The sequence below is a fragment of the Homo sapiens genome, chromosome 8 (genome assembly GCF_000001405.40).
Source record: "Homo sapiens chromosome 8, GRCh38.p14 Primary Assembly".
Taxonomy (NCBI): domain Eukaryota; kingdom Metazoa; phylum Chordata; class Mammalia; order Primates; family Hominidae; genus Homo; species Homo sapiens.
The window spans coordinates 8,228,353-8,248,479 of record NC_000008.11 but is presented as its reverse complement, the minus strand read 5'-3'; the positions used below and the strand labels follow the sequence as shown (position 1 = coordinate 8,248,479).

General features: G+C 51.1%; 2 pseudogenes across 3 annotated transcripts, besides 7 other annotated features; one reads left to right on the top strand and one right to left on the bottom strand.

Annotated features, from left to right (window-relative positions):
• Positions 3,380-4,579: an enhancer, noted in NCBI's record as "BRD4-independent group 4 enhancer chr8:8101423-8102622 (GRCh37/hg19 assembly coordinates)". NCBI's record gives its function as "activates an origin of replication core promoter dependent on BRD2, P300/CBP, MED14 and CDK7 cofactors, and independent of BRD4, by STARR-seq in HCT116 cells {active_cell/tissue: HCT116}" and the evidence as "EXISTENCE:reporter gene assay evidence [ECO:0000049][PMID:35650434]".
• On the bottom strand, positions 3,615-19,910 carry FAM86B3P (family with sequence similarity 86 member B3, pseudogene; annotated as a pseudogene). Of its 3 annotated transcripts, NR_024361.1 has the most exons (9): positions 19,780-19,910; positions 17,575-17,637; positions 15,606-15,686; positions 13,896-13,997; positions 12,531-12,664; positions 12,181-12,448; positions 11,205-11,354; positions 4,158-4,381; positions 3,615-3,895 (listed from the first exon to the last, which is right to left on the bottom strand). The product of NR_024361.1 is annotated as a family with sequence similarity 86 member B3, pseudogene, transcript variant 2 (transcript). The 3 variants fall into 3 exon arrangements; NR_024362.1 differs by lacking the exons at positions 3,615-3,895; positions 4,158-4,381 and adding an exon at positions 9,554-10,170 and having other exon boundaries at positions 19,683-19,910; NR_024363.1 differs by lacking the exons at positions 3,615-3,895; positions 4,158-4,381; positions 12,181-12,448; positions 13,896-13,997 and adding an exon at positions 8,450-8,853 and having other exon boundaries at positions 19,683-19,910.
• Positions 3,813-12,477, top strand: ALG1L13P (ALG1 like 13, pseudogene; annotated as a pseudogene).
• Positions 9,974-10,303: an enhancer, noted in NCBI's record as "active region_26963". NCBI's record gives its function as "activates an Ori minimal core promoter by ATAC-STARR-seq in GM12878 lymphoblastoid cells {active_cell/tissue: GM12878}" and the evidence as "EXISTENCE:reporter gene assay evidence [ECO:0000049][PMID:35858748]".
• Positions 10,559-11,109: an enhancer, noted in NCBI's record as "H3K4me1 hESC enhancer chr8:8094893-8095443 (GRCh37/hg19 assembly coordinates)". NCBI's record gives its function as "activates a minimal SCP1, AML or CMV promoter by ChIP-STARR-seq in naive H9 embryonic stem cells {active_cell/tissue: H9 hESC(naive)}" and the evidence as "EXISTENCE:reporter gene assay evidence [ECO:0000049][PMID:30033119]".
• Positions 11,110-11,661: an enhancer, noted in NCBI's record as "H3K4me1 hESC enhancer chr8:8094341-8094892 (GRCh37/hg19 assembly coordinates)". NCBI's record gives its function as "activates a minimal SCP1, AML or CMV promoter by ChIP-STARR-seq in naive H9 embryonic stem cells {active_cell/tissue: H9 hESC(naive)}" and the evidence as "EXISTENCE:reporter gene assay evidence [ECO:0000049][PMID:30033119]".
• Positions 12,220-12,731: an enhancer, noted in NCBI's record as "H3K4me1 hESC enhancer chr8:8093271-8093782 (GRCh37/hg19 assembly coordinates)". NCBI's record gives its function as "activates a minimal SCP1, AML or CMV promoter by ChIP-STARR-seq in primed H9 embryonic stem cells {active_cell/tissue: H9 hESC(primed)}" and the evidence as "EXISTENCE:reporter gene assay evidence [ECO:0000049][PMID:30033119]".
• Positions 14,962-15,867: an enhancer, noted in NCBI's record as "H3K4me1 hESC enhancer chr8:8090135-8091040 (GRCh37/hg19 assembly coordinates)". NCBI's record gives its function as "activates a minimal SCP1, AML or CMV promoter by ChIP-STARR-seq in naive H9 embryonic stem cells {active_cell/tissue: H9 hESC(naive)}" and the evidence as "EXISTENCE:reporter gene assay evidence [ECO:0000049][PMID:30033119]".
• Positions 19,576-19,855: a silencer, noted in NCBI's record as "silent region_18892". NCBI's record gives its function as "represses an Ori minimal core promoter by ATAC-STARR-seq in GM12878 lymphoblastoid cells {active_cell/tissue: GM12878}" and the evidence as "EXISTENCE:reporter gene assay evidence [ECO:0000049][PMID:35858748]".

Genomic DNA, 20,127 nt, shown 5'->3' with positions numbered 1-20,127 from the left:
CTGCTGGGATTACAGGCATAAGCCACCGTGCCCAGCCAATAATTTATTTTTAAACAAAATTGTGCCAGAAATTACCTTGACCTTTGAAGTGATCATCTTAAAAGCATCTTTATTCTAATGAAGTTGTCATTTTTGGCATTTTTTTGTACACGCACTCTGTGTCCCTACGAGGGAGGTAATAAATACTTCACTCCTACAAAACATGACATATATTATATTTTATCTTATTACAGATGAGAGAATTCAGGCTTAGAAAAGTAAAGTGACTCAGCTAAGATTTCCTATCTAGTAAATATTTGTAAGAATATTAATTCATGGTTCAGGCTCCAAAGATATTATTAAAAAGTGTTCTACTTCTAATAATAAAAAAAATAGTTCCTAAAAAACACAATGACCATATCTAAGCTGGTATTTTTTGTCCATATGAGAGAAAAGGCTTTAAAACATAGATCTGCCCTGGCCAGGCCTTTCATCTTGCAGATGTCGCAGTACCCTCTAGTGGCACAATGAAGACACAGACCTCGAGAGAAATTTTTTTCATTTGAAAACTGAGCCCTTCATTTTTAAGGGTAACAGGGGTTAATGTGGGACTTCCAATTAAAAATAAAATGACCAGATATGTTTAACATCTTTATTTCAAAAACTCCACTAAAATGGAGATAGCAAAATTAAAATATTATTAATCCACAGAGGCAAAGAGAACTGGAGATGATCCCATAAGGCAGTGGGCCCCAACTTTTTTGGCACCAGGAACCAGTTTCATGGAAGACAATTTTTCCACTTACCAGGGTGGGGGAGGAGAAGATGGTTTCAGGATGATTCTAGCACTTTACACTTATTGTGAACTTTATTTCTATTATTATTACATTGCAATATATAATGAAATAATTACACAACTCTCCCACTGTAGAATCAACTGGGAGCCCTGAACTTGTTTTCTTGCAACTAGACGGTCCCATCTGGGGATATTGCGAGACAGTGACACCCGAAGTGTGCCGCTTATGTCCAGTCTACATAATCTCATTTTGGTCGCTATCACTGCAAAAAATCCTGCTTCACAAAGACAGGGTGTTGGAAATGGAACCAGGCTTTTCAGTGCTTTTGTGGCAATTTCAAGATATTCGGCCTTGACTTTAATCCGGAACGTATGGAGATTTGAAATTGTCTCAAACGCCCTTTGTGTGTGTGTGTGTGTGTGTGTGTGTGTGTGTGTGTGTGTGTGTGTGTGATGGGGTCTTGCTCTTGTTGCCCAGGCTGGAGTGCAATGGCGTGATCTCGGCTCACTGCAAGCTCCGCCTCCCGGGTTCAAGTGATTCTCCTGCCTCAGCCTCCCGAGTAGCTGGGACTACAGGCATGCACTACCATGCCCAGCAAATTTTTTGTATTTTTAGTAGAGACAGGGTTTCACTATGTTGGACAGGCTGGTCTTGAACTCCTGACCTTGTGATCCGCCCACCTCGGCCTCCCAGCATGTTAAACATACTTTTAAGGGCACCAAATACAACTGTGCAACTGAAGCACATCAACTCACTTTCCACTATAAAGCCTGCCACCAGATGCAGGTTGTCACTTCCCACTCACTGATAGGGTTTTGATACGAGTTTGCAAGCAGTTGATTTATTTGGTCTCTGTGCTGTAAATCCTCTCTGCTAATGTTAATCTGTATTTACAGCCACTCCCCAGCGCTAGCATCACAGCCTCGGCTCCACCTCAGATCACAGGCATTAGATTCTCATAAGAAGCTTGCAACCTAGATCCCTCACGTGTGTAATTTACAATAGAGTTTGTGCTCCTATGCGAATCTAATGCTGCTGCTGATCTGACGGGAGGTAGTGTTCAGGCAGTAATGTGAGCAATGAAGAGCGGCTGTAACTACAGATGAAGTTTCACTTGCTCACCGGCTGCTCACCTCCTACTGGACCACCTGGATCCTAACAGGCCACTGACTAGTACCAGTCCATCGCCCAGGGGCAGGGGACCCCAGCCATCGGTGACAAAAGACTTCAATAAAATCCTTAGAAGACAGGAAGAGGACAGATGGGGGTGACTGACCTAACAGGACAGAAGAAGTTAAGGCCAGTGGCCTGTATGAGGCACAGCTGATGAAACTGGTTTGTCTTGCTCTGAAGATCACCTACAGGGTTCAAAGCTTGAAGCCACTATATTCTGTGAGCAGACAGATGAGGCAATGGGCTGCAAACTGAGTGGATTCAAATTCCGTTCACCCAGCTACTCACATGGGAGTCAGGAGGTTCACACTCAGGACAGTTTCAGTCCCAAGGCTCTGAGCTCAGGGATAGCAGTCCCAGTATAGACCAGGAGAAGAGAGGATGGGAAATGAGGGAAGATCCACACACTGAATGGCAGGTCTTCAGCCTCTCATGGACTGCTCCCATGCTCCTTTCTGGAGAAGCCGAAGAGTACAACCATCACAAGTCCCTCAGGAAGAAGGCTGGCTAACTGGTGAGCCTTCTGTGAAGCCAGCCTTCAACAAACCCAGCCTTGTTTGTTTAGGTTTTTCTCTAAAATATGAATAGATGGTCAAAGTGAAGCGGCATCATATTCTGGGGTAAATACCCGAGATTTGTTGTCTCACGGCCATGGAAAACTAGGACACAGATACACCAAGAGTGAGCTTAAGGCGGAAGTTTAATAGGCGACAGAAAGAGAAGATCTCTCTCTGCTGCAGAGAGAGGGGTCCTGAATGGGTTTCCACTTCCATGGTGAAATGCAGAGCGTTTTATAGATGAGCTTGAGGAGGTGGTGTCTGTTTTACATATGGCATGAAAGATTGGTTGGACCAGGTGTGCCATTTTACTGGGTGTGAAAAGGTGGCTGCCCACCCTAATCTTTTATTATGCAGATGGTTCTCTACCTGGCGAGTGCCATGTTGCCTGTTTCTTTACTGTACACATGGTGACAAAGAAAAGGGAGGATGGAGCCTCCATGTTGAACATGCCTGGCCCCAGGTAGCCTTTTCCTCGTGGACAGCTGCCGTCATTCACCCGTGGAAGCTTCCAGCTTGCTCACCTATATTTGCAGCTCGATTTTTTCAGGCTGCTCTTTGTTAGAAAAGAACAATTTCTTGGGCTGCTTTTTGTCAGAAGGGAAGCATTGTCGAGGACTCTTTTACCATCACTATCCGCCCAAATAATTTCTTTCTGCCTTCCGTATCAAGAGGTCATCACACATTTCAGGAAAGTCATCACCATGAAAAATGGAAACCAAAACCAACTTAGTGGAAACAAAAGACGCAGGAGACGGTAAAAAGCTACACTTAAATCAGAAGAGCATGTTATGTAAAGATAAATAAGTAAATTTTAAAAAGTAAAGACCTCTTCAAAGTTTATAAAGATGGTAACTGAAGTAACAATTCATTATAAATTTTGAAGGCTAAAGTTGAAGAATTTTCATAAATGTTAAACATTTTTTTAAAAACTAGGCGTTGCTCTGAACCTACTCTGGTTCTAGGGATACCTGATTCTCCGGTTGTTTTTTGCTCAATTAAACTCTGTCAAATTTAATTTGTCTAAAGTTTTTCTTTTATCAGATGGTATTGTAAGTTTCTTGTATCGGTTTGAACCTCGAGAGCGCGCCAACAGACAACACGACAGTGTGGAGCAACATGCTGTTTTAATGAGAGCCTGGGTGCTGGCGGGCTGAGGCCTAAAACGGCGTCAGCCCCAAGTGAGGATGGGGCAAAGGTTTTATAGTCTCCTGTAAACAGGAAGTGTCCTGGTCTGACGTAACTGCAACGTTGTACCCAGATGGCCTCTTTCTCCATCTTCAGAGGTACTTGTCTTCCGGCTGGCTCTCTTCCTGCTTTTGCTATCTTGCTGGCGCATCTGCTCACGCACGCTGCTGATGCAAGCGGCCTTGCGCCCTGGGGCTGGGCCTGAGAAGGGAGGAGTTGCTCAACCCCTTAAGCTTTCAGGCCCTGGAGAGAATCTTACAATATCAGAAGTGGGATTCACATAGCGCTTCCCGTGACCCTCCAGGAATATCAAGTGACCCAGCAAGGTACTGTAACCACCCTATGGGTTCATTTTGCCCCCTGCCCAGGTAGAGACAATTTATCAAGACAGGAAAATTGCAATAGAGAAAGAGCTTAATTCATGCAGAGCTGGCTGAACAGAAGACTGGAGTTTTATTATTACCCAAATCAGTCTCCCGGAAAATTTGGAAGCCAGACTTTTTCAATGATAGTTGGGGAAAGAGAGGGGAGGTGACTAGGCAATAGGTTCTTGCTGCTGGTTGGTTGGGGGTACAATCACAGGGATGTTGGAGATGGTCCTCATGCACGCTGAGCCACTTCTGGATGGGGCCGCGGGAGTGGTTGGCAGGTCTGGGTGGAGCCATCAGTCATCAGACAAGCAAAAACCTGAAAAGACATCCGAAAAGGCTGATCGTGGGTTCTACAATAGTGATGTGATTTGCAGGAGTAATTGGGGAAGTTCCATGTCTTGTGACCTCCAGAATAATGGCAGGTAATCATTTATGTCTACACCTTAGCAGAAATCAGGCTCCTCCCATCCTCTTACCCTGGCGGTCTCTCATCAGCTTTACAAATGTGGTTGAGCTTTGGAGAAGAGCTATTATCATTTAAACTATAAACTAAATGTCTCCCAAAGTTAGCTTGGCCCATGCCCAGGAAGAATGAAGGGCAGTTTGAAGGGTACAGGCAAGATGTGGGATGGTTAAATTTTCTCACTGTTAGAATTTTTGCAGAGGGAGTTCAGTACTCGCCTGCCCACTGTGTCCATTGCTGTCTCACAACTGGGGATTACTGCTCAATTCTCTCTCAGATTCTGAAGCCCCGCTGATTTATGATTTGAGCTATCTGAGTTTGTTTGAGCAAATTTTTTTATCCAAACTGCATTCAGAAGTTGTGACAGAAACTGGACTGGGTCCAGGATCAGATTGGATCCAAGAATTAACTAGCCTGGATCCAGTTAGAGACCTCAGGTGTCTGATTGGGTCAGACAGGAACTGACAGTAAATGGCAAAATTGCGGTGGAGTGTGAACTTTGGCTTTTGGAAATTCGCAGGAATTTTTGTATTCTGTCACCTTTGTTTCTTTTTCTCACATGCTTAGTAGGGAAAATCATTGACAAAGTTGATCAAGGGGATCTGAGAGCCAAAGGCAAGATTCAATGTAAAATGAAACCCTTAATTTCTGAAGAGCTGAATACACTCCACCTTCCAGCTATGCCTACATTTACATGGATAAATATGAGTCCCTGGAAGCAGCAAACACTTACAAAACTGTCAAAATCTTACTAAAGATGATTTAAAATCACAGTGGAATATTCCAAGTGAACAATACCTCACTTTAAGAAGTGCATTTAGAAATGAGATTGTAAAATGTTTCTTACCAGACTTAAAGTCTGCGTTGATATTAATGCCTGACAGGTATCATGAGGCATATTTGACCCCGACTTCCCGGCAATGCCTGAAATAGTCTCTCAGGTTAAATTTTAAAACAGTCTTGGCTGAGGAGGAAGTCTATTCAGATGGTTGGGGGGGCCTTAGAATTTTATTTTTGCTTTACAGACCTGACACCTAATGAATGTGTGAATAGAAAACACCTAGATGCTCAGAAGAATGGGTAGTGAAATATTCGTATTCATATACCAATCAGAGAGTTTTGGCTGATCACAGGCTGCCAACTGTTCAAACCACATTCAAATAAGGTAAATGCTGAGCTGTAACCAATCTGTCTGCTTCTGTACCTCACTGCCTTTTCTGTACATCATTTTCCTTTTTCTCTTCATCAATTTTCTCTGACTACGCAGCAGCGCAGAGCTGCTCTGAACCTATTTTGTTTCTGTGTCTAATTTTTGAGTCTGATTTGTGAATCATTCTTTGCTCAGTTAAATTCTGTTAAATTAGGCCAGGTGCAGTGGCTCACACCTATAATCCTAGCACTTTAGGCACTGAGGCAGGCGGATCACTTGAGGTCAGGAGTTCAAGACCAGCCTGGGCAACATGGCAAAACCCCGTCTCTACTAAAAGTACAAGAATCAGCCAGGCATGGTGGTGAGCACCTGTAATCCCAGTCACGTGGGAGGCTGAGGCAGGAGAATCACTTGAACCCGGGAGGCGAGGTTGCAGTGAGCTGAGATTGCACCAAGGCCTTCCAGCCTGGGCGACAGAGTAAGACCCTGTCTCAAAAAATAAAGAAAGAAATAAAAATAAATTGACGAAGGATTGAGCATGCAAAATAGAATCAGCTTTTGACCCTGAATACCCTGCAGTGAGAATTCCCCTGTGGTTCTCAGGCTTCTGTAATTCCAGCAATACACTCTTCCTTCAGGTTCACTAAAATGCAGATATTGTAAGATAATGCTCATTTCTCACAGCTTGCTTCAATAATAATGATCATCATAGTAATTTACAACTTAATAGTCAACACTGCCTTTTTAACCCAGTCTGTGAGACTGAACCATAAACGTGACATTCTTTGAAGTAAAGCTCTCAATTAATATACCAGACTGCATAAACTCCAATAACTTACCTTTCCACGGAAAGAGAATAGGTGGGTATTCTCTCTGAAGACAAATGGTGGAGAGTAGACTCTCATCAAAGACCCTCTGGCAGTAATAAGTTGCATTCCAGAAGGTTCCAGAAGGTTCTGTGGAAGGCTGCAGTTTGGGATTGGTTCTCAGATGTCTGTCTAACTGCTTTCTAAGGATGAGGACTCCTGGTTTGTGCTTTAGCTACACCCACAGGAGCAACAGACTAAGACATTCCTCCACACAATAACAGAACCAGGGAGTGCAGACCATGTGGGTCTTACCTGGCCTGTTGTCCACCGTCTGGTTTTATCTTAGACCGAGCCTGCTGCAATCCATGTTGTGTATTGGCACTCCACTTAAGTTTCCTGTTTGTAAAAAGCCCCTTTCATTCGGTGATTCCTCAGGGCTTTAGGGGAACTTTCTGGAAACCAGGCAGAAGGAAATAATGGTGGTTTTGCTGAGGATGGGTGACGTTGGGCACGGGACCCAAATGAGTGGTTTGAGCAGAAAGTAGCCTCCACGCTGGACTAATGCAATAGTCCTGCCATGATTTCATTGCAGGGCTGTGACCGTCTACGACAAGCTGGCATCTTTCTTTAAAGAGGCACCTCTGGACCTGCAGCACCGGCTCCTCATGAAGGTGGGCAGCACGCACTCTCTGTTCAGGGCCTGGTAGGCCTCCCATCCTCAGCTGCCTTCTCTCCTGCTCGCCACTGCCCTGGCCTCTCCCCTTCTCACTGCAGACCTGGGAACCCACTCATCCAGGGGTTGGCAAACTAAGGCTACAGGCCAGTCTCCTGCTTTTGTAAATCAAGTTTCATTGGGACACAACACACTCATTAACTTCTGAGTTGTCTATAGCCGCCTTTGAGCTACAATAGCAGAATTGCGTTTTGCAACAGAGAACGTCTGGCCTGCAAAGCCTGAAGTATTTACTCTCTGGCCCCTTAAGAAATGTTTGTGGACCCCTGCACTGTCTTACTCTCCTGCCAATGGGTTCCCAGGCCTGTGGCAGGATCTGTGGACCTGTGTGTCCCCTGGGGTGTCTCATGGGGCTAAGGAAGGGACCTTTGTGCAGGTCCACATACCCTGAGGTGTGCCCCTGGGTAAGCTGGGGTGGTGTGGGAGGGCATCCTAGCACCCTCATCTTGAGTCCAGGGGATGATAAGACAGTAAGTCCCGTGGAGAAAAGGAATGAGTCAGTCTTGTTTGCTGTTGTAACCTTAGCACCCAGAAACAATATTAGAGAAAGCAAGCCCATGCCTCGATTGGCAGGGGTGGCCTGGTGCTGCTGATGCGGCTGGGCACCCCAACTGTTGGGAGCCTGCAGGCCTTGCCATGGCAGGAGATGCCCGTTCTGGGTCCTGGGCCTGCTCTGTGGCCTCTCACAGGGTTTTTTTCTCCTCCTTCAGCTCAGAACCTGAGGACCCAGCCATGGAGCGGTCAGCCTTCATGGAGCAGGATGCTGGGAGCGGGCTGGTGATGCGTCTCCATGAGCGGCCAGCCCTGCTGGTCAGCAGCACACCTGGACAGGTCTGCACGACCCCTGGGGCACTTGGGGCTGGTGTGACGGGCACCTGGCCAACCTGTGTTCTCCTTACCCCTACCAGTCCTGGATGCCCCCACCCCGCCACGGTCTCAATGAGAAGGGGAGGGTGTGTGAGCTGGAAGAGTGCTGTCTAGAAACAGGCCCCTGACATTCAATTCTCTTCTCATAGAGGACGAAGACTTCTCTATCCTGCTGGCAGCTTTAGAAAGTAGGTGTGTGGCTGCGGTGAGGAGCTCTGGGCTTGTCCGGGCCACTGAGCTGTGAGCTGCTTGCCTGGCCTGCAACATGTTCCTGTCCTGGGCTACTGGGTGGGGCAGCCTGGGGACAGTAGGGGTGGTGGAGGTGGGCCTCCCTGAATCCCCATTTGGGTCATTGAGTGACCAGGCCCTTAGGCTGAAATGCGCCCTCCAGGAGAGTATCTCACAGAGGCTGGGGGCCTCCCTGCCAGAGCAGTGCACTTTCTCCACCTGACCAGGGGACTCTGGCTATTGTTTATTTAAAAATTTTTTTCTGAATGGGCATGGTGGCTCACACCTGTAATCCTAGAACTCTGGGAGGCCGAGGCAGGCAGATCACCTGAGGTCCGGAGTTCGAGACCAACCTGGCCAACAGGGCGAAAAGTGTCTCTACTAAAAATACAAAACTTAGCTAGGTATGGTGGTGGGCACCTGTAATCCCAGCTACTTGGGAGGCTGACGCACTAGAATTACTTCAACCTGGGAGGCAGAGGTTGCAGTGAGCTGAGATCACGCCATTGCATTCCAGCCTGGGTGACAGAGCGAGAGTCTGTCAGGAAAAAAAAAAAAAAAAAATTCTATCAGAAATTCCATGTAGAATTGCTTCTTTTTTTAAACACAGAGTTTGAACAACTGACTCTTCACGGACGCAACCTTCCTTCTCTTGTCTGTGTGATAACAGGTACTGCCTGGGACCCTGGGTGTCTGTTTGGCTGGGGGATGGCAGAGGGGGAGGGGCACGCAGCCTTCACCCTGTGCTTCCCACGATCTTGTCTCCTTAATCCTCACTGCAGCTCTCTGCCATAGGGTCTTATACTGCTTGACACGTGGGAAACTGAGGCTCAGAGGGTTTCACAGCAGGGCAGGGAGCCCAGATGTGAATCTGTAGATACCAAGCTTTCTACTTTTTCAGTAGTTTCCAAGCATCTTTTCTGTTGTTGTTATGTCATTGGTGTCTTTTTTTTTTTTGAGACAAAGTCTCTGTCTCCCAGGCTGGGGTGCAGTGGTGCGATCTCAGCTCACTGCAACCTCTGCCTCTCACATTCAAGCAATTCTCATGCCTCAGCTTCCCGAGTAGCTGGGACTACAGGTGCCCACCACACCCAGCTTATTTTTGTATTTTTAGTAGAAACAGGGTTTCACCATGTTGGCCAGGCTGGTCTTGAACTCCTGACCTCAAGTGATCCACCCGCCTTGGCCTCCCAATATGCTGACATTATAAATATGAACCACTGTGCCCGGCCATGTCATTGGTGCCTTAACCAAGCCTCTTTTAATTTTTCAAATGGAAGAGCCCCTGTCCCACAGTTACTGCTGCTGAGCCCTTTCAAGATGACTCAGTGAGGAGGGAGAAAAGCGGAAGTGGTGTAGGAAGAGGCGGGGTCTGGGCCAGCTGCTGGTCCTGCTCTCCTCCCTCCTCTGGCCTCTAGGCTCCCAGGAGTGGTTTGGAAAGCGCGCCATGTGCTCTGGAGGCTGTGGCAGGGCAGGCGCGGATTGGAACCCGCACCATGTGCTCTGGGGGCTGCGGCAGGGCAGGGGGAGTCCTCGTGTCCCCTGTGCACAACACAGACAGAAGGCTGGGTCCACCCAGTGGGTGGTCAGGTGCCAGGCCAGTGCTTACCCCACCATGTTTGCAGCCCGAGGCCAGCTGGCTGCAGGTGCAGGGCTATGCATCAGGGGTCAGGGTGCACACACCCCTGCAGGTCTCGGGGCTCCTGGGTTGCTTCTGGAAGGGCCCAGATGGGGCCTGACTGGAGCTGCCGAGGGGTGGAGCTTCTGGGAAAAGGATCCCTCCTAGGGGGAGTGTCTTGGGCCTGGGGCCATGTGGCAGGGACAGAGACGGGTCCATGGCAGTGTCTGCTCTTCTCTGTGAAGGCAAAGGGCCTCTGAGGGAGTATTACAGCCGCCTCATCCACCAGAAGCATTTCCAGCACATCCAGGTCTGCACCCACTGGCTGGAGGGCCGAGGACTACCCCCGCTTCTAGGTGAGAGGCCAGCAGGAGGCTCAGGGAGGAGGCGGGGACTTAAGCAGGGGTAACAGGCATGGGCATGATGTACTTTTTCTGAAAAGGTGGCTCTGGAGGCCACTTGGGGACAGGACTTGGGCTCTGGCTTAACTCCCAGGAGGAGGCTACTTCCTGGTGTGCCAGCCCCTCCCTGCCAGGTGGCCCCAGAGGCCCTTTACCAAGGGGTTTGAGGAGGCCACGTCCTTTCAGCCTGCCATGCCCTCCATTCAGTCCTCTTCCTTCCTGCAGGAGGCCTGGGCCTGGGGTTGGGGCCACTGTTGCCCAGGTGTGGGAGGGCAGTGGCTTTGGGAGGGGGTCGGGGGTCGCTTGGCCTCTGTGTGTCCTACTGTCTTTGTCGGTGAGATGGGACAATGACAGCACACCCTCACAGGTGCTGGGGGCTGACAAATGTCAGGTCTGAGGACAGTGGGTGGCCCACTACGGGGCCAGTTCCCCTTCTCTATAGTCACCCTGCTCGTCTTCCATCAACTGGGTGCTCAAGACAGTGGAGTGGAGGATCCGCCTGTACAGCCTGTGCTCCAGCGTCATGCAGGCCACAGCTCTGTCCAGCCCTGACCCCGACTGCCCCTCCTGCCACCTCCATTTTATAGATGAGGAAACCGAGGCCCAAGGGCTTAGGGAACCCTGCTCTGAAGCACACAGTAGGGCTGCTGGGCTCAGACCCTCCCTCCCTGTGCTGAGCTACCCTCCTCCTGCTGCAAGCCCCCAATGCCCCGAGCCCACCCTGCTCACCGGCCTCTGCCCGAGTTCCCCTCATGGTGTCGGAGTGTGGGGCATCCTAGCTCTTCCCTGGTGCCCAGCTCTTTCACTTCCACTGGAGTCCTGCAGTGACAGCTCAGGGACATACAGGCCCAGGCTGGGGTGGGGGCTCACCTAGCTCGGTGGTGAACAGCTGGCACGTCTCTCAATTGCGGACAGCGAAGGCCACGTAGACCTCAGAAGCCCGCTGGTGCTCCCGGCAGGCAGCCAGCCTCCGCAGGACCCTGACCAGTGACACAATGGCTTCTGGGCAATACAGCACATCTACGGTGAAAGCTTCAGGTTACTGAAAGGGACCAGCGGACAGTTCCAGGTCACGCTGACCTCAGCAGCAGGGCGAGGCCAGAGAGGCAGCGATCATATGAGACTATTAGATGCCTTTTGACCATTTGAGCCATTAGATGGAAAGGCAATTACTTGGGTGAAAAAGGAGAACCCTTAGTAGAGAAAGCTGCAAAAGACCGAAGCAAAAGAAAAAAATCTCCAGACTCACTGGTGTTCCTTACAAAAACAGCTCTGGTTCTCGGCCTATCTAGAGGGCTTCAAATGACACAAAGCCTGACCCTGCTGTGAACTTCGTGTTTCAGGTGTCTGCTGATTGGTCTGCTGGCTTGCAGGGGTGGGCCTTTGTCCCTGGCCAGCGCTGGACCTGTGGATTTCAGGACTGTGACCCAGGACCACAGGCAGAGCTCTGTTCGACCAGAGAGGGGACTGAGTGTGCTGGCAGGGCTGAGGGGTTTTTGGTGGCCCAGCCAAACACCACCTTCTCTCAAGGGCCCTGTCCTCGTCCCAGAACTGGTTGTTTTCCTCCTGTGGTCTCTGAAGGACACAGGGCATGGCTCTGGGACAGAGCCATGTGGTGATGACTGTAATGGGAGTATGCCTGACTCCAACAAGAGGGCTGTGGCTTGAAGGTCACCTTAAGAGGCACCCCGTCCTTTGATTTCACCCTGGAGGCCCAGAGTAACTCTTCTGGAAGCCCCATCATGTCCATGCCTGACAGCGCCCATTGTTCCCTTTTCCCAGAGCCAAGAGCTGGGTAGAGCTGCAAGGACAGTGCCTGCACAGGGTGCTCAGGGCTGGGCATTACCTGCTGCAATGACAACATCTAGCTGGAAGGCAGAGCGCTGATGGACCGTCACTACGTCCCAGTCCAGCGCTGGGCCATTGTCACCCTAGGGCTGTCTAAGTTGGCAGTGATGTCTGCCTCTAATGAGAGGCCATTGAGAAGGACATTTCCTTGGAGCTGCTCGAGGACTCGGCTGTGACAGTCGCTGAAGATGTATGCCCGGGGGCGGCATATCTTGCAGATGGCCAGGCCTGTGAGGCTGGCACCACTGCCAAGCTCTAAGACAGACCTGGCGAGAGGAAAGGGGACCGTGTCTGCGACTGCACCAGGGTAAGCCCGCCTCGGTGCCCTGCCCTGCGCCCCAAGGTCACCTGTGAGTGAAGGCTGCCGGGTTCTCGATGGCCCATTCTGCAATGTAGAGGGCGGCATCCCATGTGACCAGACCCGTGGTGCTGTGGGAGATGATGGCCATGCTTTCGGAGAGTGTGACCGAGCCTCCCGAGGGCTGCACCAAGAGAGGGCGAGAGAGTCAGTCCAGCAATCAGAAGGCAAGTGGCTTAGAAGACAAATAGCCATCCACCACATGGCCAAATAAACCATGACAGGACCAATTGCCAGTCAGCAATGAGAAGCAGCTAACTGTTGACATGCCAAAAGCTTGCACGGGCCTCAAGGTTGTCATGCGGCATGAAAGACACTCATCTCAGGCCACACAGGATTCCATTTATCCAACATTCCTGAGACAACAGAATTCTGGTGATGGAGCAAAGGTCAGCGGTGGCCAGGGGCTGGGTGTGGCTATGAAGGGGTGGCTGCCTTGTGATGATTCAATATGCTATGTTTTTCCTTTGTGGTTTTCTGTATCTATGTTTTATCTTATTTTTTTTGAGCTCTGTCACCCAGGCTGGAATCAGTGGCACGATCTTGGCTCACTGCAACCTCCACCTCCTGGGTTCAAGCAATTCTCCTGCCTCAGCTGCCCAAGTAGCTGCGACTACAGGCATGCGCCACCATGTCCGGCTAATTTTTGTACTTTTTTTTGAGACAGAGTTTCGTTCTTGTTGCCCAGGCTGGAGTGCAATGCCGCAATCTCGGCTCACTACAACCCCCACCTCCTGGGTTCAAGAGATTCTCCTGCCTCAGCCTCCCGAGTAGCTGGGATTACAGGCGCCCACTGCCACACCCCGCTAATTTTTGTATTTTTAGTAAAGATGGAGTTGCACCATGTTGGCCAGGCTGGTCTCAAACTCCTGACCTCAGGTGATCCACCCGCCTCAGCCTCCCATAGTGCTGGGATTACAGGCATGAGCCACCATGCCCGGCCCAATTTTTGTATTTTTAGTAGAGACACGGTTTCACCATATTGGCCAGGCTGGTCTCGAACTTCTGACCTCGGATCCACCCGCCTCAGCCTCCCAAAGTGCTGGGATTACAGGTTTGAGCCACTGCGCCTGGCCCTGTCAAGTATTCTTTGAGGACTGGGCACCAGGTCCTTGTGAAGCAGGTAGTGTGTGTTACCTATTGGACAAATGCCCAACAACCCCACAACACATGTTATTGTTGTTGAAGTGCTTGATTTACAGACAGGGAAACCGAGGCTAAAGAAGGTTAACGGACCTCATGTCTAAGACTGCAGAATGGGTGAGTCAGGATTTGAACCCACACCCATGTTTTCACTTTGTCTGTGCAGGAAGGGTATCTGGGCTGTGAGGGGGAGGAGGGTGCCCTTCTCATACCAACAAATAGCTCCGGTGGCCCTGGGGGGACTCCTTGGCCATCAGGGTCTCCGCCAGCGCCTCGTACAGCTCATCCAAAGGCTCCGTGTGGACAGCCTCGTGCTGGGGGCAGACAGAGTGAGAGCTTGTTTGCTTTTGTTCTAATCTGTAAAAATGGCCAGATGATTTTCACCAAGTTTGCAGGGGAGATTTGGGATGGAATGGTGTGATACCAGCCAGCTTGCATATAAAATATTCACTTTGTTGGGCGTGGTGGTGTGTGCTGAATAGCCCCAGCTACTCCAGAGGCTGACATGGTAGGACTGCTTGAGCCCAGGAGTTTGAGGACAGCCTGGGCAACAGAGATCTTGTCTCTAAAAAGAAATAATTCCACTTGGTAGGGAAACGTGGATGGGAGGGCCTTCAGCAAGAGGTGTTCAGAGGGTAGGGTTAGGTGTAGTCTAGGGCAGGAGACAAGGATTCCGTGAGAGCTGCCACATGACCATGACAGAGAGCTCTGTGTTTGGATCAAACACAGAGAGGAGGAAAACAAAAGGTGCTTTTAAGTGAGCCCAGGCAGAACTGTGAGGGCGGCCCATGCTGCAGGCTGTGGCTGTCAGCAGGCTGCTTCTCCACAGCTGGCCCAGTCCTAGGATTCACAGGGCAGCAGCAGGGTACACTGGGTGACTGCTGCCCTCTCGTGGTGGCACAGGGCAGACCTGCTGGTGACCAGAGATGCACCCTTTTGGGGAGAACTAGGGAGAAAGCAGGTATTGGAGAAGCAGGGGATTGTTTATTTGTTAAAAGTGTGGCCCTTTCACTCAGCAGGTCTGCTACTGCCTACTAAGGAATGGCCTCTCGACATCCTCATGTCAAACCCTGCATGTTCGGGCCCATCTTTAAAATCCATCCTAGGCCAGGTGCGGTGGCTCATGCCTGTAATCCCAGCACTTTGGGAGGCCGAGGCAGGCGGATCACCTGAGGTCAGGAGTTCGAGACGAGCCTGGCCAACATGGTGAAACTCTGTCTCTACTAAAAATACAAAAACTAACCAGACATGGTGGCATGTGCCTGTAGTCCCAGCTTCTTAGCAGGCTAGGCACGAGAACTGCTTGAACCCAGGAGGCAGAGGTTTCAGTGAGCTGAGATTGTGCCACGGTAATCCAGCCTGGGCAACACAGTGAGACTCTGTCTCAAAAAAATAAATAAATAAATAAATAAATAAGTAAAAAATAAAATCCATCCTATATCAGTCAGGAAAGAGCTCATTCCAGCAGGATCAATGCGGAGAATTCACCAGAGGAACTAGTTCCAAAGGTATGGCAAGAGCTAAAACTTCCAACAGGGGCCCGTGGGGCAACCCAGAGACGGACAAGAGCAGGAAACTCCAAACCCTTTGGTGGGCAGGACAGAGGGTGTGGGTGATGGTTCCAGTGCTGTGGGCTGGTCCAGCCTGGTAGGAATGAGAATCCATATGCTAGGAGCTGGGGCCCCAGAGAAGCAGCTGCTGTGGAAACCCCAGAGGGCAGACTCAGGGAGAGACGCTGGCCTCCCCTTATTCCCACCCTGCACTGTCTCCCATGGGTCACACACACCTGCAGCCAGTTGCCTGGGGAGGCCCCTGCCATGCCGGGGTTTGCAAAGCAGGCCCAGGGCCTGGGAAGGACGGGGTGTGCAGCACGCCGGTGGCTATGCTGTCCAGCTACTGGGCGGACACTGCCCATAACTGACCTTTTTGATGAGTTCTGAGAGAAAGCACCAGGCATACTTGACTGACGGCGGGTGCTTCACACACACAGGATGCCTCACAGTCTACGGCAAAGGACAGAACGTTGGTTGCTCGAGAGCCCATCTTAAGTCTCCTATGAGCTTCAAGCCAACACAGCAGAGGGCAAACTCCAGGCTACCTGATCCCTCAGCAAAGATGCAGATGGACACAGCGTTCTGGCCCCACGCATCTGAAGTTTGTCTTAAGATATAAGCCGTTTCCTAAAGATGCTTCCACTGCAGTGGCACAGGCTATGGCAGCATTTCTAACGCCCATTCTGAGCAGGAACACAGGGCATGTGGGCCCAAACCACCTCCCTCCCAGGGGAGCCAGTGTGAACCAGGGTTTGCAGTAAGGACAGTCACCAACTATCTGGCTTTATGGAAGAGGCGGGGAGGCCCACTCAGCAACTGCTCTCTGGGAGCGTGTGTCCCTGGGGACAGGATGGAGGGGAGGGGACGCTCAGGGTGACTCCAGCTAAAGCCGAGAGAAGCCAAGTGCAGGATGAGCAAGTTCCAGGCAGTGGGAACAGCCTGTGCAAGCTCTGAGGTGGCCACGGGCTGGCACTTGGAAAGGAGGGCAGAGGGACTGGTGCAGCAGGAGGGGGGACGGCGGGAAAACAGGAGACTGGAGGGAGAGGGAGGAGACGGTCCGCAGCGCCTGCTGCCTGGGAGGGATGCAGATTCTGCCCAAGGGCAGCAAAGTACCCCACGCAACACACAGACTCTTCATGCTGGTGCTGCTTTTTCATTTGTTCTGACACAGAGTCTCGCTCTGTTGCCCAGGCTGGAGTGCAGTGGCCCGATCTTGGCTCACTGCAGCCTCCACCTCCTGGGTTCAAGCGATTCTCCTGCCTCAGCCTCCGGAGTAGCTGGGACTATAGGCGTGCACCACCACGCCCAGCTAATTTTTTTATTTTTAGTAGAGCTGGGTTTTTGCCATATTGGCTAGGCTGGTCTTGAACTCCTGACCTTAGGTGATCCGTCCATCTCAGCCTCCCAAAGACCTGGGATTACAGGTGTGAGCCAGTGCACCCAGCCTTGTGCTGGGTTTTAAAGCAGCTCTCCCTACATCTCATGCTTCACCACCTACGAGAGTGAGGCTCAGGGTGAAACTCAGAGCAAGGTGCGAGATAACTTCAGGTATCTCCATCCTCGAAGCCCTGACCTACTGTATTGCCCCGAAAGTCTTCCCTGCTGTGGCTGCATCTTTTCCACGTGGATAATCTTGGTTCACCTCTAGCACAGGAATTCTTCACCGGGGCTCCTAGGATGGGCTGGGTGGGTGGGCGTGGAGGATGTCTGCCTCCCCTGAGTTTGTATGGAAAATGTATTCTGGTGCACTTCTTTCTGGGAGGGAGTCTATTGCTTTGTCTTTTCAGAAGGGCTCATGGCCCTTCGAAGGTGAAGACCCAGGATGCAGGGTGATCTGCACTTGGCCCTCAAGGCCAAGGTCAGCCTGTGGCTGGGCCGCGTGGTGATCCTGGCTCTCACTTGCATGCAGATGCACTTGAGTCCAAACCCCACCCTGGGCAAAGCAAGGGCCCATTTAGGTCTAGAAGAGACAGGAGTGGGCGGGACAGGCCTCATGAATGCAAAAAAGAAAGTCTCTGAGCATCTACCAAATGCTAGAAGCTGTTTTGCACCTGTCATCTCTGTTTTTGCTGTGGATGGTTTAAAAAACATTCCCTAGATTTCCCCCCCTTGCAGATTTTTGTATATTCTGATGTCTTTGTCTAAGTCTTAGATAGAAAACGAAACCGTAGGAGCTGTCGGAGGTGCTGACACCCTCCTGAAGTGCTGACTCAATGGTTTTGTTCTTTGAAGAGGGCTGTTTTTAAAGGGTACAAGCACACCTCTGCTGCTTCTCTCAGGTCTTCCGGAGAGATTCAGGAGGCAGGATCATGAGTCCCAGGGACTCTGGGATTCTTACCTTCTGCAAAATATCCTGCAGCAGCTCAGAATCTGATGAGTCTCTTAACTTTGCCTCTAAGCTCTGTGTGGATGGGAGAGAGAGAAATCTCAAGGGCCCATTCACAGGAACATTAAACACGCAATAGAATGTGTTGGCAAAGCTCTATGTGATCCCTCCCTGGGGACGTGGAGCCAGTTGGAAGTGGAAGCCACAACAGCTAAAAGCCTGACCTTCAGATGTCGCAGGGTGCACCTGGATGAGTCACAGGAAGAAGGCTGACTCTTGGTCGCATTAGTCCTGGCTACTCAGCTGCCACCCAGGTCATGGGCCAGCTCCCTGGTTACACTGGTCAGCCAGGAATTACCAGGGCAGCCATGGCACCAAGGTTTGATGGGCTTGCCATCTGAGTTTAAGTGGAAATGCAGAATGTGCCCATACCAGCCTGGGTTACATTGTCCTCTTACAGGGGCCTCAAGCCCAGCAGTGAGCTTTGGCTCCCGAGTTAGGCAGACTGTCTCGGCTGGTATGTGACACATGGCAAGGCACTTCATTGCTTCAGAGCTCCTTCTATGCCATAAAAGGCCCTACAAGGCCTGCTGCTAATCCCCCTCTCTGGACTATTCTCCCTCATCCCTGGCCCACACTGCTCACTCCACTCCAGCCACACTGGCTACCTTGGTGTTTTTCCTCAACCACAGCTGGCTTGTTTCCACCACAGGGCCTTTGCATATCCTGTTCCCCAAACCCTTCCCATGGCTGGCTGCTTCACCACTCAGGCCCCAGTTCAAATGCCACCTCTTTGGGGAAGGCTTCCCTGATTCCCCGACTTTGGTGACTCTTCTCCCCAGTTGCTCCATTCACCATTCCCCTGTTTTCTTGGCTTTAAAGCCACTCTCATCTGGTCTTTTCTTGTTTATTCATTTATTTGTTTATTCTCTGTCTCTCCCATGCAAGCAGAGCCTCATCTATCATGGGTACTGCTGATCCATGGTGCTTGGCTCACAGAAGGCATTTATTAAACATTTTGAGACTGAGTAAAAACACTAGCTAACACCGACATACATTTACCATGAGCCAGGCACTGATCCACAGGCTTTTGTACTCAACGCTGACAACAACCCTAAGAGGTAGGTATCATTATATCAACCATTTTATGAATAAGAAAACAACAGCACAGAGAGATGCAGTCACTTGCCCAAGGTCACACAGGGCCAGGGGTTGGGCCAGGATTCGAAGCAGGCAGGCTGTCTCCTGGGTCTGAACTCTCAACTACTACACCCTAATCAAACAATCCCTCTGGTCAAATGTGAGTGATAATAATAGTACCCACCTCGTGGGTGTTGAGGGTGAGCCCAAGTTAGCATTCAGCGTGGGCATGTGAACAATTATAGTCAATATTGAATGGAGACCTATGATGCTTTTATGAAGGTTTCTATTTTGGGTTAAAAATGCATAAATTTCTCCTGACCAGAAATGATCTCTGAGTGCTAAATATTTTATATCAATGGAATAACGCAAATGATTAAGCAACACCCCATAAAATGGGGCAGACCCAGGGAGGAATATATATCCAAACTGACTCATCCCAGTGAGCTCACTGCACATGAATTACAAATGGAACGGGGTGCATTAAGCCCCTCTGCTGGCAGAAGGGAGGCTGCTGCCTGACATGTGCCTGTGCTGAGAATGGCAGGTCCCCAGGGAGAGGAGAGGCCAGCCCCTTCTCTATCTCTTCCATCACAGGCGTGAAAGCCTCAGCGCATGAGCTGATTCTATGTAGTGCTCGACATACAGATGAGAACACTGAGGCCCTAGGGACAGCCTTTGACCTGGTCACCGCGCTCAGGAGGAGGTGGTTACCCGCGGGCCTGAGGGCGCTGACTTTTTAGAATGGGCGAGGGCAGATGTGTCCCAGTGACCAGAACGATTACTGCCTTTAAAAAGTCATGAAAATGATCGTGAACTGTACCCCACACCGAGCGCGCGTCTGCACCCCAAGACTGTGGAGACGCCCCCAGCTTCCGCCGCCAGCTCGCGGGGCAGGATGGGTGAGAGCGACTCTGGCCAGGCCCCAGGGACGGGGACCGGGTCTCGCGGCCCTGACCAGGGAGAGCCCAGGAACTCACGTGGCAGGAGCGCCGGGGGTTTCAGCACGGAGACCCATCCCGTCTGCCCCTGGACTCCGCGAGCCCCGCGGGCCTCTCCGCTCGCCCCGCCGCCCACCTGCCAGGGGAAGGAGCGCAGTGTGCGCGCCACTAGGAAGCGGCTCTCAAAACCCTGCAGCAAGAGTTTGGTACCCGCGTTCTCCTCGGGCGTCATGATGTGGGCGGGGCCGCAGCGTTGCCAGGAGATCGGGCGGAAGCCGGGCCTGGATTGAAAAGGGAGCGGGCCCAGGGTAGTGCGCGGGGGCAGAGAGGGGGCGGGGCCTGGGGGCAGGGTCAGGAGGAGCGTCCTGGGGGCGGACTCTAGGGCGGGGCCAAGATGAGCTTATAGGAGGGCGGGGCCTGGGGTGGGGCCAGGATGAGCGTCATGAGGGCGAGGCCTGGGGTAGGGCCAGGATAAGCGTCGTTG